The sequence below is a fragment of the Homo sapiens genome, chromosome X, assembly GCF_000001405.40.
Source record: "Homo sapiens chromosome X, GRCh38.p14 Primary Assembly".
Classification (NCBI taxonomy): Eukaryota; Metazoa; Chordata; class Mammalia; order Primates; family Hominidae; genus Homo; species Homo sapiens.
In genome coordinates this window covers 19,664,428-19,686,676 of record NC_000023.11, presented here as the reverse complement: position 1 = coordinate 19,686,676, position 22,249 = coordinate 19,664,428, and the positions used below count along the sequence as shown (strand labels likewise).

General features: G+C 40.8%; 1 protein-coding gene across 32 annotated transcripts in view; it reads left to right on the top strand.

Annotated features, from left to right (window-relative positions):
* The window catches only part of SH3KBP1 (SH3 domain containing kinase binding protein 1), a 353,624-nt gene that overhangs the window by 200,924 nt on the left and 130,451 nt on the right, over positions 1–22,249 (top strand). For 27 of the 32 annotated variants that reach the window (NM_001353890.2, NM_031892.3, NM_001353892.2 and 24 more), the window contains one exon: positions 2,649–2,854. In NM_001353890.2, the coding sequence (NP_001340819.1) occupies positions 2,649–2,854 (206 nt within the window). Of the gene's footprint in view, positions 1–2,648; positions 2,855–15,677; positions 15,816–16,266; positions 16,365–18,422; positions 21,989–22,249 lie in introns of those variants that run through there. The other 5 variants (NM_001353897.2, NM_001184960.2, XM_047442050.1 and 2 more) reach the window with 3 other exon arrangements.

The window sequence follows — 22,249 nt, the reverse complement described above, 5'->3', positions numbered from 1 at the left end:
ATGCATGGCCCTACTGCACATGACCTCACTACACATGCAGGGTGCCGCCTGTGCCTCACCGTGGGAGTTTTGACAGCACCTAGATTGCTCTGTGCCCTGGTCATTTAGATGACTCCACCACCAGCCACATGTCTGGAAGTTACACCAGTGCACACTGTTAAAACACTAAAGCATCGCCCCAGACACCACACTTTCTGTAGTTCTCTCACCACTGCCTACCTGTAATGAGCCCTTCATGAACCAGCCCCCGTCCACAGTCCACACTCTGGGTTGCACCACCCAAGAGTGTAACCTGGCATTCTGGGCCTGACATGGGGACATTTTATGGGATAATGTGCATGATGGGCACGAGTCACTAAAAGATATATCACTAAATGAACATGAAAATGAAAAGTCACCTTTCTTTCCCTCTAAAGGGAAGGAACTAGATTTTGAATTATTTTACCAACACAGATAGTTAGATATTTAATTTATACACTTAAAAGTGATAGAACCAGCCTGCCAGAAGTTCTGGAAGAAAAATCTGCTGTGTGTTTCCTTCCCGGGCCATGCTTGTGTGGTTGAATGACTGTGCAACCTCTCTCTGTGTAACGTAGAGTATTTCTCACGGTGATTAGTATAAACATATTAAGATGAGCCCAGAAGACAGTAAATCCCAAAAACCAGAAGCTCAGTGAAATGAGGATGGCAGTGGCTGAAAATATTATGGTTCTAGCTAATGGTGAATGATAGAAGAACCCTTGAAATTCTTCTCTTTGAAAAACTAAAATAGACTTGCCCTAATCTGTTTGCCCTGCTGCCTTCTGGTGGTGATGAGGGGAGCGTGCTGAGGGAGGGGAGTGGTGATGGTTTCTTTCCACTAATGGTTTCTTTATTTCACCCTTGAATGGCTCTTTCCAAGCCAGAAAGGAATATACAAGTCATTTATCACATAGAAAGAATCCATACGGCAAAATGAGAACATGTTAAGGGGGAAATGACACAATATTTAGACTCCAAAATTATATCTCCAGCAGGGATATTTGCAAAAACAATGAACAGATAAACACACAAATGGATAGATGGATAGCTAATGGGGGAGGGTTCTTGATGTTTACACACTCTAATCCTTCCTGTGAATTGCAGCCGACCCCCTTGTTGTGGGCTGTTCCCCATTCGGTCCTGTGTTTTTGCTCACAAATGCTGGTTTTCAGTTAATTAAAATGTACACTGGGGACCTTCCTCCTCCCCCACCCTTTTGGCTTAAAAATACCATTTTATGGAAAATGACAACAACAACAAACAAAACCATTGTTTTAAGGATTTGATTCTGAAACGTGTTAGCAGTTTATAATGACCTTTCTATATTTTGTCTGTTTTCATTTAACAGTTTCTTCCTGCACTGAGACTTCCTTATTTGAATGACTTCCACATTTTATGAGATTTTATGTGAGCAAGTATTTGGTGTATCATTCTTATGGACTAGGAGGCCACCTTACCTGTAGGAAGATAATGCACAATTGGCTAATAGAGAACAACATTTGATGGCGTACTTTCATTTCAAGGGCATGGTTATGATCAGGAGTTATGTAGTAAATGTTCAGGAGCTATTCTACACATCTAGAGGCTTTCAGAGACAGGTTAATGACAGAGTTTAGTATTCCATAAAATATTCTTTGAATCCTGCCCTTTGATGGCATAATTGATATACTGACCATCAAAGGAAGAATACACCCAGAAATTAACTAGACACAAATAGGCTCTTCCTTTTAGGAACATGATTGTGGGCAGAGCCTTGGGAAAAAAGAATCTGGGGAGGTAAGTGTCCATGTTGTCTTGCTAATAACTATTTTATGACTTCCAAACACATGCCACAGAAGATCAAAGGAAGAGTGTCATGTCCCCAGTGTTCTTCTTTGGAAAGGGATTCAGCTTTGGGAAAACACTGGTGTTTAAAGGAGAGAAGAAGGGCTGTAGGTTTGGGGGATTCTGGCCTCTGGGAGGACGGCTTCCTTTCCCTCTTTAACAAACATGATCGTCTTGCTAGTGAAACCGTCTTAATGTCAAGTTTGGTTTAATGCTTTCCTAGAGAAACATGTCTGCATGCATTTATTCCTTGTGAAGCCATCCAAAAAGATTGAATTCTTTGGCAGTTATAATTTTGTGTGGTTTCTTTAATTGCTCATTTGTTTAAATGGCTTTTAGCTTTACAGTTTCCCTTTAGGAAATGTTACTTTCATTGCTAATTGCTAATTGACATGAGTCATAGAGATTGGAGGTACAGTATGTGGTACTGACTGGGTGGGGAGGCAACAAGGTGGGTGGGAAGGGTTGCTATTGCACAGGCTATGGGAAAACAAATTTGGATCAAAACCAGGCTCCCGGCTAAAGAGGGGTGAATTTCACATGTACAAAGATATCTGCTTTGGAATTAGATTTTCTGAAAAGTTGTTTTGATTCACATCTTAAAATTAAAAGTAAGGGGTGGGGAGATCAAACAAAACTCAGAGCCAGTCAAACTACTCAACATACTGAATACAAAAGCCTAGTGCAAGTTATCCTGTGCCCAGTCACACTTTTAGAGGTGGTTCCTGGCTGGTTGTGAAGTTCTTCTTCAGGGCTCTGGCTGATTTCTGAGCTCTTTCTCTCCCCATCCCCACTCTTGACAGGTTTAAGGGAAACCACAGGCTCCGAGAGTGATGGGGGTGACTCAAGCAGCACCAAGTCTGAAGGTGCCAACGGGACAGTGGCAACTGCAGCAATCCAGCCCAAGAAAGTTAAGGGAGTGGGCTTTGGAGACATTTTCAAAGACAAGCCAATCAAACTAAGACCAAGGTCAATTGAAGTAGAAAATGACTTTCTGCCGGTAGAAAAGGTATGTTCGACAGTTTCTATTTGATTTCAACTTAATGTGGAATATCCAAAAGTACGTTGTGGGGTTTGGTGCTGGAGGCTTCCAATTCCTCTTTTAGGGTTTCCATGTCCTCATGTACTAGTTGTTTGTCCTGTCTTCTTTTTTAGCTCTCCCTCTGTGTGGGAACGACTTCCCTCAAAAGGCTCATGCTCTAGTTTGCTGCTTTCTTTCTTGCTGATCTCTCTAGGGAATGCTTCTCAGGATGACTTTGGAAATGGACCAGTACTTCTCTATCTGCTTCCCAGAAAAACCCCTCATTCCTGGACCCGCCTAAGTGCATGACCCTGACACTTTTCAGACACTGGCCAATCTCTCTCCGCTCCTTGTACATTTCTCTAGTGCTTTGTGCTTGGGTGTGCTGACTGTGGTTCTGCACTAGAGTGAAGGAATTGTGCACCTTTTCTCTAAGAGTTAGTTGGAGATAATTTCAGACTGTTGAAAGGAAGTCTCCCGCAGGTGTGAATGATGGAGATGGCCTGTGCTGTGACTCCCTGGGTTGTTCCCTTCAGGAAGCTGGCTGTTTCCTTCTGCCTCTGGTTCTGGGCTAGTGAGAGGCAGGCAGCATGTTGCTGCTGAGTACGCGGTTACCACAGCAACACACCCAGAGCCCTCGCGCTTGTGGCTGCCGATGACGTCTACTGTGGTATACTTCTGAGCATTGTAGCCTTGCTTAGGAGTTGATAAATACTGTGGAATTTTCCAAATTATAATAAGCTACTCTCGTGCTGTGCTTAAGGCATGTTTGTTAATTCGATTTAGTGCTGAAATTTTTGCTTTGACATTTGTGCCAGCAGATTTGGGGGACGGGGTATTGGCAACCTCTCTAATTCAGGTTTATGGGTGGCTTTTAAGTGTTGTTGTTTTTTTTTCTTTCTTTTTTTTTTTTTTTGGTGGGATAACATTTTAAAGGTTGCATCATCTTCTGCAGCTGTAGGACATCCACCCCTCCACCCGCCCTCAGCAACCTTGCCCAGTGTCATCATGCATTAGAAGCAGAATCTGAAAAGGAAACTTTTCGAACACTGAATCCCTCTAGAGATGAGTCAGGCAGAAAGGGCAGATACCTAGAAATTAAAAACCGTTTCATTTAAACTTTTTTTTTCAATGTTGAAGTTTCTTTGAGTCAGCATTGTTCCTTTCAGCAATCAATATATGATATTTTTCAAGATCTGAAAACTAGTGTCCCAGCTCTTGAGCTCACTTCTGTTGCATATGGTCACATTCAGATTCCTGTGAACATTTACAAAAGAGCAAGTCCCCATCTTGGAAAGGAACACTGGATGCAGTTTTTCTTCTTTTATTCAAGTGGTTGAAGTGAAAACGACCATTGACTCAGTCAGCAAACAGTTCATTCCTTTTGTTTGTTTTATGATTCCTGGCCTTTATCTTCTTTGTGTAGGAGGACTGTGTGTGTGTGTGTGTGTGTGTGTGTGTGTGTGTGTGTGTGTGTATGACTCTTATTATTGCTATTAATATTAGTTTTAGCTGCCAATAATAAATTGAGTTACTGTTGATAGCAATGTCAATGTCAAATATAATACTTGAAAGTTTTTATCTCAGCACATTTCTTTCCTGAACCTCAGAGCTGTATGTCCAACTGCCTGCTTACTTCAGTATCTCCACTTGAAGATCTTAAATTCATATCCGTTTGCCTAAACCTGAACTCATCGTCCTCCTCCAACTGCTCTACCCACAGCTTTCCCCATCTCAGTTGAAGGCAGCGCCATCTCCCACTCCTATCGCTCAGGACAGAAACCCTCAGGTTGTCCCTGGCTCTTTCTCTCAGCTCTGCCTCCTAAATATGTCCATCATCCACCTAGGTCTCATCACTTCCACTGCTCCTTAATAGGGATTTCTGCCTCTCCCCATCCCCCTGGAGTTTAGTCTTAAGAGCGAAGCCAGGGAGAACCTTTGAAAACCCAAGTCACATCATGCTACTCATCTGCTCACACCCCTACCAAGGCTTTCCTGAGAAAAAAAGTGAGACCCGACCCTCGTTACTGCTGGGACTTCCTCCCCCACTGCTCTCCCTTCACTTTCTTCGTTCTGGGTCCTTGCTCTTCCTCAGACATGCCATGCACACTCCTACAGGGGGCATTTGCTGCAATGGTCTCCTCAGCCTGGGCCACTCTGCATCTACCTGCCCACTTGGCTGCCTCCCTTTCCTCCCTGCTATCTTAGCAGAAACCTCACCCCATCCCCCTTCCTGGTACTAAATATTTTGTTCTCTGTGGCACATACCATCTTCTAACAGATTTATTTTTGTTATATATGTCACTTATTTTGTTTGCTAATCTATTCTATGTGCTTAGAACAGTGCATGGCACATTGTAGGTGCTCAATAAATATTGTTGAATGAATAATATTAAAATATAAATGCTGCACTTTAGAGATTACAGACATCTCTAGAATGAGAGTATTGGGTGAGATAATATAGCACTTGTGTAGTTGAAAATATATCAATTGTATAGTTCACTGCACCTCTGTGAAGCAGATAGTTCATTTATTGCATTGATATTGGTGCCATGAAGTGTTAACTTCATCAGACACATATATGTGTGTGCGCAAGTGCGTTGAACATCCCTAATCCAAAATCCAAAATGCTACAAAATCGAAACTTATTGGGCACCAATATGATTCTCAAAGTAAATGTTCATCGGAGCATTTTGGATTTCGGATTTTTGGATTAGGGATGCTCAACCTGGATGCATTCTGCTGATACTCCACAATGCAAAAAGAAAAAAAAAAATCTGAAATCCAAAACACTTCTGGTCCCAAGCATTTCAGATAGGGATATTTGACATTTGTGTGTGTGTACGCATTCGTGTATGCATCTTGATTCCTGATTTGTCTGCAGAATGAAACCATGTGCTGGAAGCTCCCTAAACCCATTTCTCATGTGGAGCCTCTGGGGAAAACATAAACTTCCTAGCCTGCTTTCTGGGTGTGGACAATTTTTACAACATCTAAGAGGATTTGAAACTATCTCCACCCCATGTTGTTGGCGCCATGGATAGTTGCATAGATTTATGGATCTATCATGTTATTGTACAACCTGGCACAAAAGCCGATAAGTGTGATTCTGTTTTATTAGCATACAACCTGGTTTTCATCACTTTTGAGATGGTTATGTGTCTAAGATTTATGTCTAAGGAAGAAAGCTTCCTTTGAGAATTGAGCTCACTGTTTTCATTTTTAGAAGTGTAAATTGGATCTTGCGTGATAGCATTCAGTAGGTGAGGCTCAAGTAGGTCTGCTCAGGCTGCGACAGTTGGCCTTCTGAAATGTCTGGCTTGATAACTTGGATGAGGGAAAAAGGGAATCTGACCATTATTAACAGCTGTGAGCATCATATTATACTTTTCGTTCAGGTTTGTGAAGTTTTTTTTTTTTTTTTTTTTTTGAAACAAGAGTCTTGCTCTGTTGCCTAGGCTGGAGTGCAGTGGCACAATCTTGGCTCACAGCAACCTCTGCCTCCCAGGTTCAAGTGATTCTCATGCCTCAGTCTCCTAAGTAGCTGGGATTACAGGTGCACACCACCACACCCAGCTTAATTTTTTTTTGTATTTTTAGTAGAGACGGGGTTTCACCACGTTGACCAGGCTGGTCTTGAACTCCTGACCTCAAGTGATCCGCCCACCTTGGCCTCCCAAAGTGCTGGGATTACAGGTTTGAGCCACCATACCTGGCCAAGTTTGTGAAATATTAAGATCCACTTGTCTGAGTCAGTAGATAATCTTGTGCTTATCTTATATTTTAATCTATATTACCCTACCCAGAGTTAATGATTAGATTATACACCAGGAGAGATATTGTATAACATCCCTCCACCAACTGTGAATAGATAAATAGTTCATGTAGGTATTCTTGTTTCTCTTATCAGGCTATAAGGAAGGATTCCGTTTATGAATCTTTTAAATACCACCAAGTGGATATGTCTCCGAATGATTTGCTGAATGTACCATTTAACTGAAATATTTACAGCTGAGTTGATTTAATGTCTGGGACTTGCTTCCTATAGTCCAGAAGATGAAAGAGTGGGGCATAGAGGAGACATTGATCATGAGTTGGTATTTGTTGAAACTGGATGGTGTATACATGGGGGTTCATCACACTCTATTTTTGTGTATGTTGGAAATTTCCCTTGATAAAAGGTTAAAGGGGGGTGGGGAAGAACCTTGGAGAAACATGTACCATTTAAACCAAGCTCAGATGTAAGTATGTGCTGTATCAAAATAATGGAAAATGCTATATGGCTATAGATGAACCAGGTTACACCTTAGAAAATCATAGGGCCATAGTACCTTCATCCTAGCTGATTGACCTCGATGAAGTTGGCCTCAGCTGGGCCATCTGTAAAATGGGAATACTTTTTTTTACCTATCTTACCTCACAGGACTTAAAAAATATATACCTGAAAATACTTTCTAAATATGACTCATTTCAACTAGCATGTATTGAGTGCTCACTAAATATGCTCAGTACTGAGGATACAGTCGTGAGGGAGACCAGGTCACTGCCCTCAGGGAGCTACAGAAAAGTAAATAAACAATAATAATAGAGTATAGGAAATGCCATAATCAGGCTGAGAACACAGTGTTGTGCTGTAGGAGCCCTCAGGCATGGCAGGAAGTGGTAAGTTGTTAGGGAGGCTGGAAGGTGTGTGTCCGTTCATGTGTGTGTGTACCAGCTTCCTACAGGAAGTGATGTTTAGGCTGAAAACCATGGGTCCAGTAGGCGTAGAGTTATTAAGGTAGGGAGAGCAATATCTATAAATGCCCTGAAGAGGGAAAGAGATAGCACAGATGATGTGTAGAGGCTCCAGCAGGAAGCGGGGAAAGAAGCAGGGCCCAGATCATGAAGAGTCTTGTGAGACTCGTTAGGGAGTTGGACTTGATCTTGAGAGCAATGGGAAACTATCAAAGTGTTTTAAGCAAGAGAGTGACACGATCAGATAGGTGGTTTAGCGAAAGTATTCCAACTGCAGTGTGGGGAGTGGATTACAGAAGACAGGGTGAGTAAAATTCAGAAGAGAGGTAACAGAAACATACTGGCTTTCCTGATAAATAGCCCCCCACTCCAAATCTAGGTTCTAAACCAGTTAATTAATTAGATGAGTGAGTGAATGGATAATCAAAATATTTTGCTGATTTTTTTTTCATTATAGATATCCAGTTGACCCAGCACTGTTTATTGAAAAGATTATCCTTTCTACACTGCACAGCCCTATCACCTTAGTCATAACCTAAGTGGCTATATATAAGTGGGCCTATTTCTGGACTCTGTTCTGTTGGTCTTTTTTTCCTTGTGCCCATTCTATGCTGCCTATGTATTCCTCTTCAAGATTACCTAAGCTGTTCTTGGCCCTTTGCATTTTAATTTAAATTTTAGAATCAGTTTGTCAATCCCCCATCATCATAAAAAAAAAAAAAAACCTCCTGGAATTTTGATTGAGATTGCATTGAATCTATAGACACTTTTGATGACAATTGGTACCTTTCTAATTCATGAACATGGTATATCCCTCTATTTGTATAGATTATGTTTTATTTTGTGAAATGTTCTCAAGCTGAACACTTATGATTTGTGATCTCTCTGTGCATACGTTTTATTTCAGTGTCATTACTGATGAAGGCAAAGTTGGAAGGTATAGATTAGTGTGAGAGGCAAATGGGCCTGCCAGCTGATTCCCAGAATTAGACAGATTTGCCCACACAATCTCAGCAACATTGGACTAACTCAGGCCAATGTGAGATAGAAAGACCTGCCCCTTGAGGAACAGCAGAGAAGGCTGACTTCCAAGAGGAGGAAAGAGAAGAGCTAAGCTGAGCACGCCCAGTATATTTTTCTTAAATTCACCTATCAGATAAGTAATTTCACTCTCCCAGGGAAGGAAACATAAAGGGGAAGAGAACGGCAGGAGTGTCTAATTGTGTCCAGAGAGTGTCCATTTGAATTTCTTTACATAGAAGGGGACATCAAGGTAAGGGATGTATTAACAGCTTGAACTATTGTCATGGAGAGAAATGGATGGTTTGGGGAAATATTTTGAAGATAGAATCAAGTTTGATAGTATGTGGGGGATAAAGAAGAGGGAGGACTTGAAGATTGTGCCTTCGGCAACTGGCTTAAGCAGCTGAGTACTATTTTCTGATTAGAAAACAGTGGAGAGAGAAGATATTTGGGGAGGAAGGACATGGGTTAGACTAGCTGGATTTGGAAGTTCTTGTGGGACTGTATCAAGTAGAGACATCCAGCAGGCAGATGGATACATAAGTCTGGTGATTGGGAGAGAACTGTAAATGTAGGTTTCAGAGTCATCAGCCTAGAGATTGGGCTGGAAGACTCTGAGCAAGAAGGCAAGCCCAGACGAGACTGTATTCTCATGAATACAGGTGGTACCTCTGTCTCCCACCTGTGGACCTGAGAGGGAATTTCTTCATCAGGCTATTTTCCTGTGACCCCAGTCTGGCCCTACTCTCTGTTTCTAAACTCCTTCCCTTTTTATGAGTCACTTAGATGATCACTTCTGACCAACCACTTAGGGAAAGGAGTGTCAGGTATTACACATGGATAGGTAAGTTACAGATACTCGAGTGAGTCTCAGGACCTAACCTGACATGGCTTTATATAGAATAATGCTGGGTTTTTGGTGCCAGCTCATTCCGTGTCCTAGCTCTTTAGGCACTACCAGTCTTGGCCCACTTAATTATTGGAAAAAGTAGTCTTTTTTGCCTTACTGGAAAGATTTCTAAACTGAATGGTTTGCCAGGTTGGTTGTTTACTGGATTCCCTGCGGAGAAATCTTTCAAGAAGCTTCTTTCCCATGGTCTTCCTGTCTTAGCTGATTTCCGTTAGTGACTTCTGACATCTCTCTCTTGAATTCTGTCTACACTTTCTACAAGGCGTTGTGTTTGTAACAGCCTCTTTTTCAACTCTTGTCATCTTGAATCTCATTTATAGAATTATAGTCACCCAAATTAATGCCTTTATGGTATCCACATTGTAGCTTTTACTTGGGACAGATAATTAGAATTAAAATTGTGTATAAATGAGAGTGACTAATCAAGTTTTTAATTAGCCAAATTACAGTAAGAGAATTTAAGTATTTTCATACGTATCTCAGGTAGTCTTTTTTTTTGTATTTAATTTTTGTGGGTACATAATAGGTGTATTTATGTGGCACATGAGATGTTTTGATACAGGCATGCACTGTGAAATAAGCACATCATGGAGAATGGGGTATCCATCCCCTCAAGCATTTATCCGTTGAGTTATAAACAATAAAATTATACTCTTTAAGTTATTTTAAAATGTGCAATTATTATTGACTATAGTAATCCTGTTGTGCTACCAAACAGTAGGTCTTATTCATTCTTTCTATTTTTTATGTACGCATTAACCATCCCCGCCTCCCACCCAGCCCCCACCCAGGTAGTCTTTTTATCCATTCTAGTAAAAATTTATTAAGCTGCATAATCATATAAAATTAAAACATGTCAATAAGGTGATGATCTTAGTTCCTTAAAAATGAGAGATCTATGTCCTAATCCTTTGAAGACTAGAAATAAGCTCTAGAGAACTCCAGAAGCTAATGAGATATATACTCTTTGACTAATTAAACACAAGGGTCAAAACCTTGTTGTGATTATCTGAGACCTAGAGTATTGGCTGTCCCTCGTTTTGGTTGAAAAATAAGATTGTGTCTCTTGAGTTGTTGGAAAACCTGTGGTTTTTAATGAGCAGATGGTATTAAGATGCCCACTGGTTGCCTGGGTTGAATGAAGTGTTTGGGATTTTCAGACTTTGGCTTCTCTCTCCTCAGAGTGTCTCAGTTTTGTTTCCTGATCTGGAAAAAGTAAGGAAGGAGGAGGGGAGTTGGTAGGGAAAGGGAAACAGAAACAGTGAACCAGTATTACAGGATTATTCTTTGTCATGTTGGGTGCTGCTTTCTGTTTTATATATGTTTGATGTGAACTTTCTAAAACACTCAGCCTAGCGTATTTTCTAAGAAATATTTAGTTGCAGCCAGATTGTCACCAAGAATCATATTCCCAGAAGGTTTTCAAATTGTGTTAAGAGTATAGTGGTTGGCCGGGTGTGGTGGCTCACGCCTATAATCCCAGCCAAGGCAGGTGGATCATGAGTTCAGGAAATGGAGACCATCCTGGCTAACACTGTGAAACCCAGTCTCTACTAAAAATTCAAAAAATTAGCTGGGCATGGTAGCATGCGCCTGTAGTCCCAGCTACTTGGAAGCCTGAGGCAGGAGAATCGCTTGAACCCGGGAGGTGGAGGTTGCAATGAGCTGAGATTGCGCCACTGTACTCCAGCCTGGGCGACAGAGCGAGACTCTGGAAAAAAAAAAAAAAAAGTATAGTGGTTATTAAACATGGAGGACAGATAGCCCAGGTTCAGACTTCAACTCTGCCTCTTCCTGGGACAAGTTACTTAACCACTCAGTGCTTTTGATTCCTCATCTGTAAAATTAGAGTAACAAGAGAATCTACCCCAGAGGGTTGTTGTGAGGATTAAGTAACATGTAATGGTTAGAGAAGTGCCTGGCACATAGTAATCACTTGATTAACGTTAGTTATTATTATTGTTGTCCTTATTGTTATTAGAGTAGAAAGAGTACCTATAAATGACAGTACATTTTCCAGGGTTATTTCTATTTATTTATTTATTTATTTATTTATTTATTTGAGGCAGGGTCTTGCTCTGTCACCCAGGCTGGAGTGCAGTGGCATGATCTTGGCTCACTGCAACCTCTGCCTCCCGGGTTCAAGCAATTCTTCTGCCTCAGCCTCCCGAGTAGCTGGGATTATAGGTGTGGGCCACCACGCCCGGCTGATTTTTGTATTTTTAGTAGAGACGGGGTTTCACCATGTTGGCCAGGCTGGTCTTGAACTCCTGACCTCCGGTGATCCACCTCCCTCAGCCTTCCAAAGTGCTGGGATTACAGGCATGAGCCACCATGCCTGGCCTCTTTAATTTTTTATTATGGCAAATTTCAAACTGCAAGAAGTACAATTGAATTTTGCTATATCTGTGTTAGCTGTTTGTTTCATATCACCAAGTCTTAAATGTCAGCCACTAGAAAGTAAGTGCCATAATTTGGGACCTTGTCTGTGTTAGTCACCATTTACAGTTTATGAAAATAGTTGTCAAATGATAGTTGGCCCTCAGTAAATATTTGTGGACTGGATGAATGAAGATACTGTTTTGTGCTAATCCAATTCTGGTTGGGATCTGCTTGTGGTCTAGCTAAGATTCACTCTTCCATTTGTTCATTAATTCACTCATTCATTCATTCACTGAAGCTTTATTGAATGCCTTTTATGGATCAGCAGTGTGAAGCTTTATTGAATGCCTTTTATGGATTAGCAGTGGTATCTCTGGGATTTGTATGTAAATGAACAAAGGGGTGGCAATCCATTTGGAAAGGGATTGGCTAAATGGCATGTCTAGATGTTGTATTTGCATAGTAAGTGCGGTTTTTTTTTAACCTGACAGGTTATTTATTTGGGGTGGAGCAGATCTGGTGTGGTTCATCGGAATGGAGTTAACACCTCCTACCCTAAGTCACACCTTGGATCAGCTGTCATATACAGGTTTCTCATTTAATGCTTTGGATTGTCCCTACATTGGAGAGAAAGGGGGTATGTATAAAAGTCATTATAATGTAAGGGGAAAGACTAGCAGACGCATGTCCAAAGCATCAATGAGAATAGAAAGGAAGAAACTACTAACTTTCCTCCAGGTCAAGAAGGAAGGGATGGGATATCCTTGGTCTCTTTTTAAGGAATGTGGTATTTGAGCAAGGTGTTAAAAGACGTTGGGAATTCATGGTACTAGCAGTGTGCATGTGGACAAGGAGTGAGCATGAGTATGTTGAAGGAAGAGGTGGGTTGGGCTGGGGTGCAGGGGCTGTGGTGGTGGTAGTGGAGGAAGTGGGCAGCTGAAGGGGAGGTGGTGCCTCTTCCTGCAGGGCTCTGCCAGCCCACTCACAAGCTGCCCTTCTTCTGGGTGGGTGGGCAAGTTGGTGAAGGAGTTCAGTTGGGCAGCAGCATGATCAGATTTATACTTTAGAGAGATAACTGGGGAGGTGCTGAGGAATGTGGACTGGAGATGGGAGAGGAAGTAGCTGGGAGACTTGCCAGCCCCGGGGCTCCATGGTCGATGACTAATTGGCCAGGCACCAGGAACTTCTAGTAGCTCTTGGAAAGGGGCAGATGGGCCCACCTCATGCACACTCTTTAAGCTGGATCGCCGTTGCCTGGGTTGGCAGCAACACTGACAAAAGAGCCAAGTTTCCTTTCAAAGAAAATTCTTTTGTGTATTTTGGGAATGAAAAAGCCAGGAGTCAGCATTCTACTATCTTCATTAATAGATAGGCTAAGAAGATAGAGACAATTTTTAAATTTGAAGTTGAGAGGGCCTTGTTAAATAGATTTACATAGATATACACATGGGCATAAACATGTATAGCTATAAATCACAGATATGTGTTTATTTATATATACCTTTGCATTCAGCAGGTTTATCTTTCTAATTAGTTTTTTAATCAACTTTTAATTTTAGAGTAGTTTTAGATTTATGGAAAAGTTGTGAAGATAATAGAGTTCCCACATACCTCACACCCGGCTTCCTCTCTTGTTAACGTCTTGCATTAACGTGGTACGTTTCATATTATCTTTTTTTTTTTTTTTTTTTTTGAGACAGAATCTTGCTCTGTTGCCCAGGCTGGAGTGCAGTGGCGCCATCTCGGCTCACTGCAACCTCCGCCCCCCACCCCCACCCGATTCAAGCAATTCTTCTGCCTCAGCCTCCTGAGTAGCTGGGATTACAGGCACCTGCCACCAGGCCTGGCTAATTTTTGTATTTTTAGTAGAGACGAGGTTTCACCATGTTGGCCAGGCTGGTCTTGAACTCCTGACCTCAAGTAATCCGCACACCTTGGCCTCCCAAAGTGCTAGGATTACAGGCGTGAGCCACCATGCCTGGCCCATATTATCATTATTGACTAACATCCATGCTTTATTCAGATGTCCTCAGTTTTTATCCAGTGTCCTTTTTCTGTTGCAGGATCCCATCCAGAATACCACATTTAGTTTTCTCATCTTGTTAGGCTTTAACAGTTTCCCAGACTTTCTTTATTTTTGATGACCATGGCAATTTTCAGTTTTGTAGAATGTCCTTAAATAAGCATTTGTCTGAAGTTATTCTCATGAGTAGATTGGAGTCGTGGGTTTTTGGGAGGAAGGCCACAGAGGTGAAGTGCTCTCATTACATCATATTAATTCCATACTTATCGCTATAGATGTTAACCTTAGTCACCTTGGCTGACGTAGGTGTTAGTCAGGTTTCTCCGCTCGAAAGTTCTGGTTTTTTCCCTCTTTCCATACTTGACTCTTTGGAAAAAGGGTACTCTGTGCCCCTCCCACTTAAAGAGTGGGGAGTTTCATTCTACCTCCTTGAGGGAGGAGTATCTAAAGAAATGATTTGGAATCCTTCTACACAGGAGATTTGTTTATTCTCCTCCGTCCTAGTTGGGTTTTGATAAGGGAATTTTTTTTATCTGTTCTCTGAATTCCAAATGCTAATTCTGTAGCACTTGTATTATATTTGTCATTTACTACCTAGTGACATCACCTACATTTGTGTGTGTGTGTGATAAGTAAACAGATTTATGTCTTATTTACCCAAGGAGATTGTAAATTTCTTGAGGACTGGGACAGCATCTTATTTAAAGCCCCTTACAGAGTTAGATACAGTGCAGGCAGTTAATAAATAGTAAGCAAATGGTTTTTAAATTAGTTTAATTAAAAATTTAAATATTAACCATAGTTAACTGAAACAGGTCATCAAAGTCTAAGCATATGAGAAATGTGGTAAGATAAGGATACTGTTTACTTGGCATCCTGATTTGTGAAATTGTCCTGAACTTGTAATTGTGGCTAATATGATATTTACTGTGTGCCAAGCACTTTTGTAAGTACTTTACATATATTATTTAATTTTCCAGACAGCCCTGTAGGTTGGTGCCATTATCCCCATTTTATAGATAAGGAAACTGAGATGAACAAAGGTTGAATAAGTTGTTCAGGATCACAAAGCCAGGAAGTAGCTCAACTGGGATTTTGATCTCAAACACTCCGGCTCCAGAGTTTTGAACACTTAACCACTGCGCTCTAGATTCATTGAAGTGGTGATTAAAATGGTATCTCTTTTGGGGGAAAGAACAAAATTGTGATTTAAATATTTCATTTCAACCTGTTAGGATGCTCCTGATGACATGGCAGCAATGTTGCTGTATTTTTCCTAGGGGGAGTATTTCCATAAAGCCACGGCTGTTTTTCCTTCTTCTGTGTGTGTGTGTGTGTATGTGTGTGTGTGTGTGTGTGTGTGTTTATGAGTAATTTTTGTGTAGTGCAACTAATTGCATTTAAAATACAGGCATGTTCATGATTGATATGTCATATACAGACTATATTCTAGATATCCCTCACTCTCTAGCCATGTGATCTGTTGAAAGATAGTGGGCTTTTTATTTCTTCTCTGGCATTTTTAAACAGACGTGATCACTAGGTCTTGCCAAATAAACACTCCCTCAGTGTGTTCCTTGTCCGAATGGTCACACCTGGGGGCCCCAGGAGGGAGCCCAGATTGCAGCAGCAACATAGGCGAGGGAGGAGGACTTCTCTCGAAGCCACCCAAGCCATGAATTGGCCCTGGCTTCCTGAACCATAAACAAATGCGAGCTTTGTTCTCCCCATTCCTCATTTGGTCCCAAGTATGACTCAGGGTTAGGCTGGGTCCTCAGGCTCCGTGCTGTTGGAAGGAAGTGGGAGGATTCCAGGGGAGTTCTGGGACCTTTTCAAACTGAAGAGAGGAGGCTGGCTGCATCATGGGAGAAGAGGTATTTCTTTTTTTTTTTTTTTGCTTTTAGAGTTGTAATAAATCCAGTTAACCTGTATCTTATCTGTATATAACATTTTGTAGCAAGACTGGGTAATGGGTTTGCATTAGTGGGTTGAAACAATGTGTGTGCCAGCTAGGATCCCACAGAGGGGAGCTATGGATAAGCTGAGGAGGAACCTATCAAGTATACGGATTATTTGCTAAAGCTGAATGTCACTCTGGAGCTATTTAGCCGTTTTAATCCCTCCCACTTTGGTCAATTTGGCCATTAATTTTTACAGATGTTTCCAATCTCTCTGTGTCTTGGGTTTTCATGTGCTCATATTGCAGAGAGAAATTTAGATGGGCAGTTTGCACAAGCGGTAACTGTTACACCATGTCACAGAGATGTTTAGCAATTACAGATGTTTGTGCAGTAAACAAATCCAGCTTGCTTTTCAGGTTAGCTTAGAGAGAAGGGTATGTCCATGCAGAGCAAGCCAGCTGTGGGGCGTTTCACTCTTGAGGGTCACCGACATTTGGAGTTTTCTTTGTGAGTGGAGCAGCTGTGAGTAGTGACTTCTGGGTGCTATTGAACTGCTTTTTTTATGATGGGGTAAAGATATTTGGCTAGTTTTGTAGTGCGGGGCATTTATAGGTATGTACTCATGTATGGAGAAAAATTAAGACACTAAATTATTTTGATTTTATAAAAGTTTGCTAGAAATAAGTGGTCTTGTTTTTCTCTGTGAGTTGTTCATATTTGTCTACCTAAAAGCAGAAGTCTGTCATTTTCCAAACACAAAATTCCCTAAATAAACCACAGGATAAGTAAGGCTTACAGTGTGTCATATGTCTTCCATATCCCTGTCTCTCATTGAAAAAAAAATTTTAAGGGGAGAATTGATGAGGTCTGTAAAATATGTCCCTTTATGTCTTTTTCTGTTGGCTTTAACTTATACTATTTTCAAAATTACAAAAAAAAAAAAATAGCGTGGCCAAAAGGAAACACATTGTTTTAACATATCATTTTAAGAGTAGGGGAACTTCTTGAAAGGTTTTTAAATGGCATCTGTTGCTTGCCTAGAAAGGAGGACAGAGGCAGATATATGAGGAGAGTGCCGTTAGGGGTTGGCTAGGATAAAAATATATTCATCGGCAATGGCTTGAGAGGATTTTCCTAGGGAAAGATAGCTTATGTTTGCTGATCTTATGCTGGATGTCTTTGTTCTGAGTTCTGATGAGTAGAAATCTGAATGAGGTATTTATATGCAAAATAAAGATGGTGAATCTTCTTCCTTGGGGAAATGAGTGAAAGCATGATTGATTGTAAGGTGTGAAAAACGTGGGAAAGTCTCAGCAGCTAGGGCCTGGAGATGGGAGAGGAATGGTAGCCCCTGGGGGGCCTGACAGGTTTTGCCTTGGTCCTGTGATGTCTGAGCTACTTGTTGCACTGGTAAGTGCTCCCTGAACCCTTTGCTTGTTTGTTTCTCAAAATGGAGGTAGCTCTGTTACTTCTCTCATTACAAGAGCTCTTTGTAATAATAATAATAATTATTATTATTATTATTATTCAAAGTTGAAGAATACAAAGAAATAAATAGAAATCATCCTCAGCTGAGTGCAGTGGCTAATGCTTGTAATCCCAGCACTTTGGGAGGCTGAGGCAGTTGGATCACTTGAGGTCAGGAGTTTGAGACTAGCCTCGGCAACATGGCAAAACCCCAACTCTACGAAAAATACAAAAATTAGCTGGGTGTGGTGGCATGCACACCTGTAGTCCCCAGCTACTCGGGAGGCTGAGGTGGGAGGATCGCCTGAGCCCGGGAGGTTGAGGCTGCAGTGAGCTGAGATCGTGTCACTGCACTCCAGCCTGGGTGACAGAGTGACAGCCTGTCTCAAAAAATATATATATATATATATATATATATATATATATATATATTACCCTCAATCCTATCATTCAGGAACAACCATAGTTAACATTTTATATGTATCCTTCCAGACTTTTTTTTTTTTTTTTTTTTGAGACACAGTCTCACCCTGTCGCCCAGGCTGGCTGGAGTGCAGTGACGTAATCTTGGCTCACTGCAACCTCTGCCTCCCAGGTTCAAGCGATTCTCCTGCCTCAGCCTCCTGAGTAGCTGGGACTACAGGCGCCCACCACCATGCCCGGCTAATTTTTGTATTTTTAGTAGGGATGGGGTTTCACCATGTTGGCCAGGCTGGTCTCAAACTCGTGACCTCAGATGATCCACCTACCTTGGCCTCCCAAAGTGCTGGGATTACAGGCATAAGCCACCACACCTGACCTCTTCCAGACTTTTTTTTGAGCCTGAATATGCATGCAGTACACACATCACTCTTCACTAAATAATGAAGTCATATCAAATGTTGCCTGTTTTTAAAAACTTTCTATGAGACCCCTTTTTCTATCAGGTAGCCTCATGATTTCCCTCGATTCTCCTGCCTCAGCCTCCTGAGTAGCTGGGACTATAGGCGCCCGCCACCACACCTGGCTAATTTTTGTATTTTTAGTAGGGATGGGATTTCACCATGTTGGCCAGGCTGGTCTCGAACTCCTGACCTCAGTTGATCCACCCGCCTTGGCCTCCCAAAGTGCTGGGATTACAGGCATGAGCCACCGCACCCAGCCTCTTCCAGACTTTTTTTTGAGCCTGAATATGCATGCAGTACACACATCACTCTTCATTAAATGATGAAGTTATATCAAATGTTGCCTGTTTTTAAAAACTTAATGTACTATGGGACCCCTTCTTCTGTCAGATAGCCTCATGATATCCCTAGGGTCTCTGTCCGTTGTAGAGATGCAGCACCATTTGTTGAAACAATCTCCCAAGGATAACTATTTAAGTTGCTCCCCCATTTTTAACATTACAAACAACATTCTTGTAAATCCATCGTTGTTTCTTCCCTGATTATTTCCTTAGGCTGAATTTTTAAAAGAGGAATTTCTAGGTTAAAGGTCGACTTAATTCTGGCTAGTTTTGTTTTTAATGAAAATAATTCAAGTATACGGTAAAAAAAAAAAAAAAAAAAAAAAAAAATCCCAACAGAACAAAAGTAAGACTTTCTGAATCCTATACACTTAACTTTACTTCCTGGTGGAAATCACCATAAAAGTTATATGCACTCTTGCAGATATGTGGAATTGGTTTTTTATTGTTGTAAAATATATTTAACATCATAAATTTTACTGCCTTTGCCATTTTATGCTTTGCTTTGTTTTTTGAGACAGAGTCTCACTCTGTCACCCAGGCTGGAGTGCAGTGGTGTGATCACAGCTCACTGCAGTCTTGACCTCCTGGGCTCAAGTGATCCTCCTGCCTCAGCCTCCCAAGTAGCTGGGAGTGCAGACATGAGCCACCATGCCTAGCTGACTTTTTTTATTCCTTTTGTAGAGACAGGGTCTTACTATGTTGCCCCCAGACAGGTTTTGAACTCCTAGCCTCAAAGAATTCTCTCACCTCAGCCTTCCAAAGTGCTGGGATTACAGGCATGAGCCACTGTGCCTAGCCACCTTAACCATTTTTAAGTGTGTAGTTCAGTGATATTAAGTACATTCATATATTTGTGCAACCGTCATCACTATCCATCTCCAGAACTTTTTCATCTTGCAAAAATGAAACTCCATACCCATTAAACAATAACCTCCCATGCCTCCTACCCCTGACCCCGGCAGCTACTGTTCTACTTTCTGTCTCTATGAATTTGACTAGGTACTTCACATATGTGGATTCGTGGGGATATTTATTGTCCTCTTATGACTGACTTATTTCACTTACCATGATGTCTTCAAAGTTCCTTCATGTTGTGGCACATATCAGAATTTCTTTCGTTTTTAAGGCTGAGTATTATTTCATTCTATGGATATAATGCATTTTGTTTATCTATTCATCTGTTGATGGACATTTGGGTTTTTTCTATCTTTTGGCTGTTGTGAATAATGCTACAATGTACATTGGCATACCAATACTTGTTTGAGTCCTTGCTTTCAATTTTTTAGATATATCTCCAGAAGTAGAATTGCTGGATCATAGGGCAACTCCGATTTAAATTTTTGGGGGAACTGCCCTACTGTTTTCTACAGTGGCTGCATTGTTTCACTCGGTGGAAGTCTCAGCAATGCATGAGAGTTCCAATTTCTCCATGTCCTCACTTGTTATTTTCTGTTTGCTTTTTTTTCTTCTTGTAGCCATCCTAATGGGTGTGAAGTGGTATCTCATTGCAATTAGAGTTGGTGTTCATGTTGCCTGTCACTGAGGGGGAAGGAAATTATTATTATTCTCATCTTGAAATGATGAGTTGGGAAATAGTCTTAGAATCACCATTAACTAGCTGATCAGTCATGTAATCTGAAGAGACTACAAATCGCTTAAAGGAAGAACACAGCCCCACTGTTCCCATAGCCCCAAAGAAAAAAATGAGTGGAGTGCCCAGGTAGTTACTTGGTTTCAGAGGTTTAATGGTGACCAGGACTGGCTTTTCATGTTGCCCCATCCGCTTACCTGAATCTATAGTCAAAGGTTTGTTGGAGAGTAGATTTAAAACAGTTCTCTCGAAAAAAGATGAATTTATCTTTTGTGCAACTGTTATTAATAATTCTAAGCGATGGTATCTTATTCATCTTACGTAGTGGATAAAGCTAGTTTTGTGATTGATTTTTTTTTTCCTCTTCACCTTCTACTCTGGAATTCCTTAGGGGTAGAAAATGAAAGTCCTTTTTTTTTTTTTTACAAATTATTTGCTGAATCGTTTATTTAATGATTCAGTTGGTAGCCTTTAGTGGAGTGTACTAAAGTCTAAGTATTTAATTGTGACCCTCTTTTGTTCTTTACTTGTATTAATAATTGTTTTCATAATATTTATATCCTGAAGTATGCAGATGCATTTGGTTCCTGAAATCCAGTTTTAAAAATTTGGCCATTAAAACTATCATGTCTTTGTACGTAGCTGTCTTTTTCTCTCTGATATTCTCACTAGTTGTAAAATGATATTCTAGCCAACTGGCTTTCAGTGGGATGGAATGAGTTTAATGCTATGTAAAAACTGGCAACTTTAAAAGAAGCTATCCAGCTTACTTTGACTGCATGGTGGTGTGTCTTTTCTTACACTTAAAGCATTTAGATCACAGAGATCAGTCAGTCAGCAGCCTGTTTTGTACTTCTCTGTGGCATTGGAGGCCATTTAAAAGCTACAGGATGACAGCCTTATTCCCAGCTCAGGCTCTTAATGTTGGAGGCTAGATCCCAAATAAATGTATAGCCATAAATGCTCTAGAAACAAATGGAAACATCACAATAAGCTATACTTACACCTCTAATAGATATTTTTCTCTCTCTCTAAACCCGGGCTATAAAATGAGCAATTCACAAAATAAAAGTGTGCTGGAATTGCCTCTAAAAGACACTTCTTTATCAAAAGGCCATCCTCAAGCCATTTTACGAATGCCCTGTGACTCAGAAGTGTCACCTCAATTAAAGTTATCCTTGAACTCTTAGGAATCAAATAGGCATGGTTTGGCAAAGTGAAGGCAGAAAGTTGAGGTCTGTATCACTCAGAAGTTGTATTTCTGTTTTGTCATTTAAAATGAGGAAGGTAGAAATGCTAAAGATGGATTTACTGCCTCATTTTCTTTTTCTTCTTTTACTTGCTAAGAATTTTCACCCACCAGTGACTTTAATATGTTTTGCTCCATTTGTTTTGGTAACGTCTGCTCAGTCTGTTCTTTTTATTTTGAATTCTTAGTTGGGTTCTCATTGTCTCTCTCTATTAGAAGCAGCTTTTCTGGAACTTCTTGGGTAACTTTTCTAGATTATTCACAAAGTCGATAACAAGAGGAGTAGTGATGTAAAAAGTGTCAATATTTTTAGATCCTAGAGTCGTGCAAAACTGTCCTCTTGATGCAGTGCTTAGCATTGTCTAGTTACTACATTGGAAGAACAAGATGCCTTGTATATTTTACGTGTCTAATCATATATTCATCTTGCCTCAAACCCCTTTACTCCCTTTACATTCAGGCATTGTTAGAAGCTGAGAAAGTAGACATACAATACTGTTGTTTTTTCAATTCAGAAGAGGCTAAAACATTATGAAGCTGGTAACTCTATGCCCACACATGGAAGTAATCTGCCTGAGCAATACCTGTCACAATATCAACATGCAGTAGAGGTGAGCAGAATGTAATTCATGGACAACCTTGCTGTACTTTCCAGTGAAGGGTTATAGGATCTGTGACATTTTGGTATTATTTTCGTACGCAGTGCCCAAAATTTCAAACAACTCTAGGTTTCTATGACCTTTAGTCATAGGTCATCTGGCAGGAGAAGAGAAAAGTGGTCTGGATAAGAGATGAAAAGGGGTCTTGAGAAAATTAATGAGAGGCTGAAAGAGATACAGCTGGGTCAGGGAGTGATCACTAAGTTTCCAAGT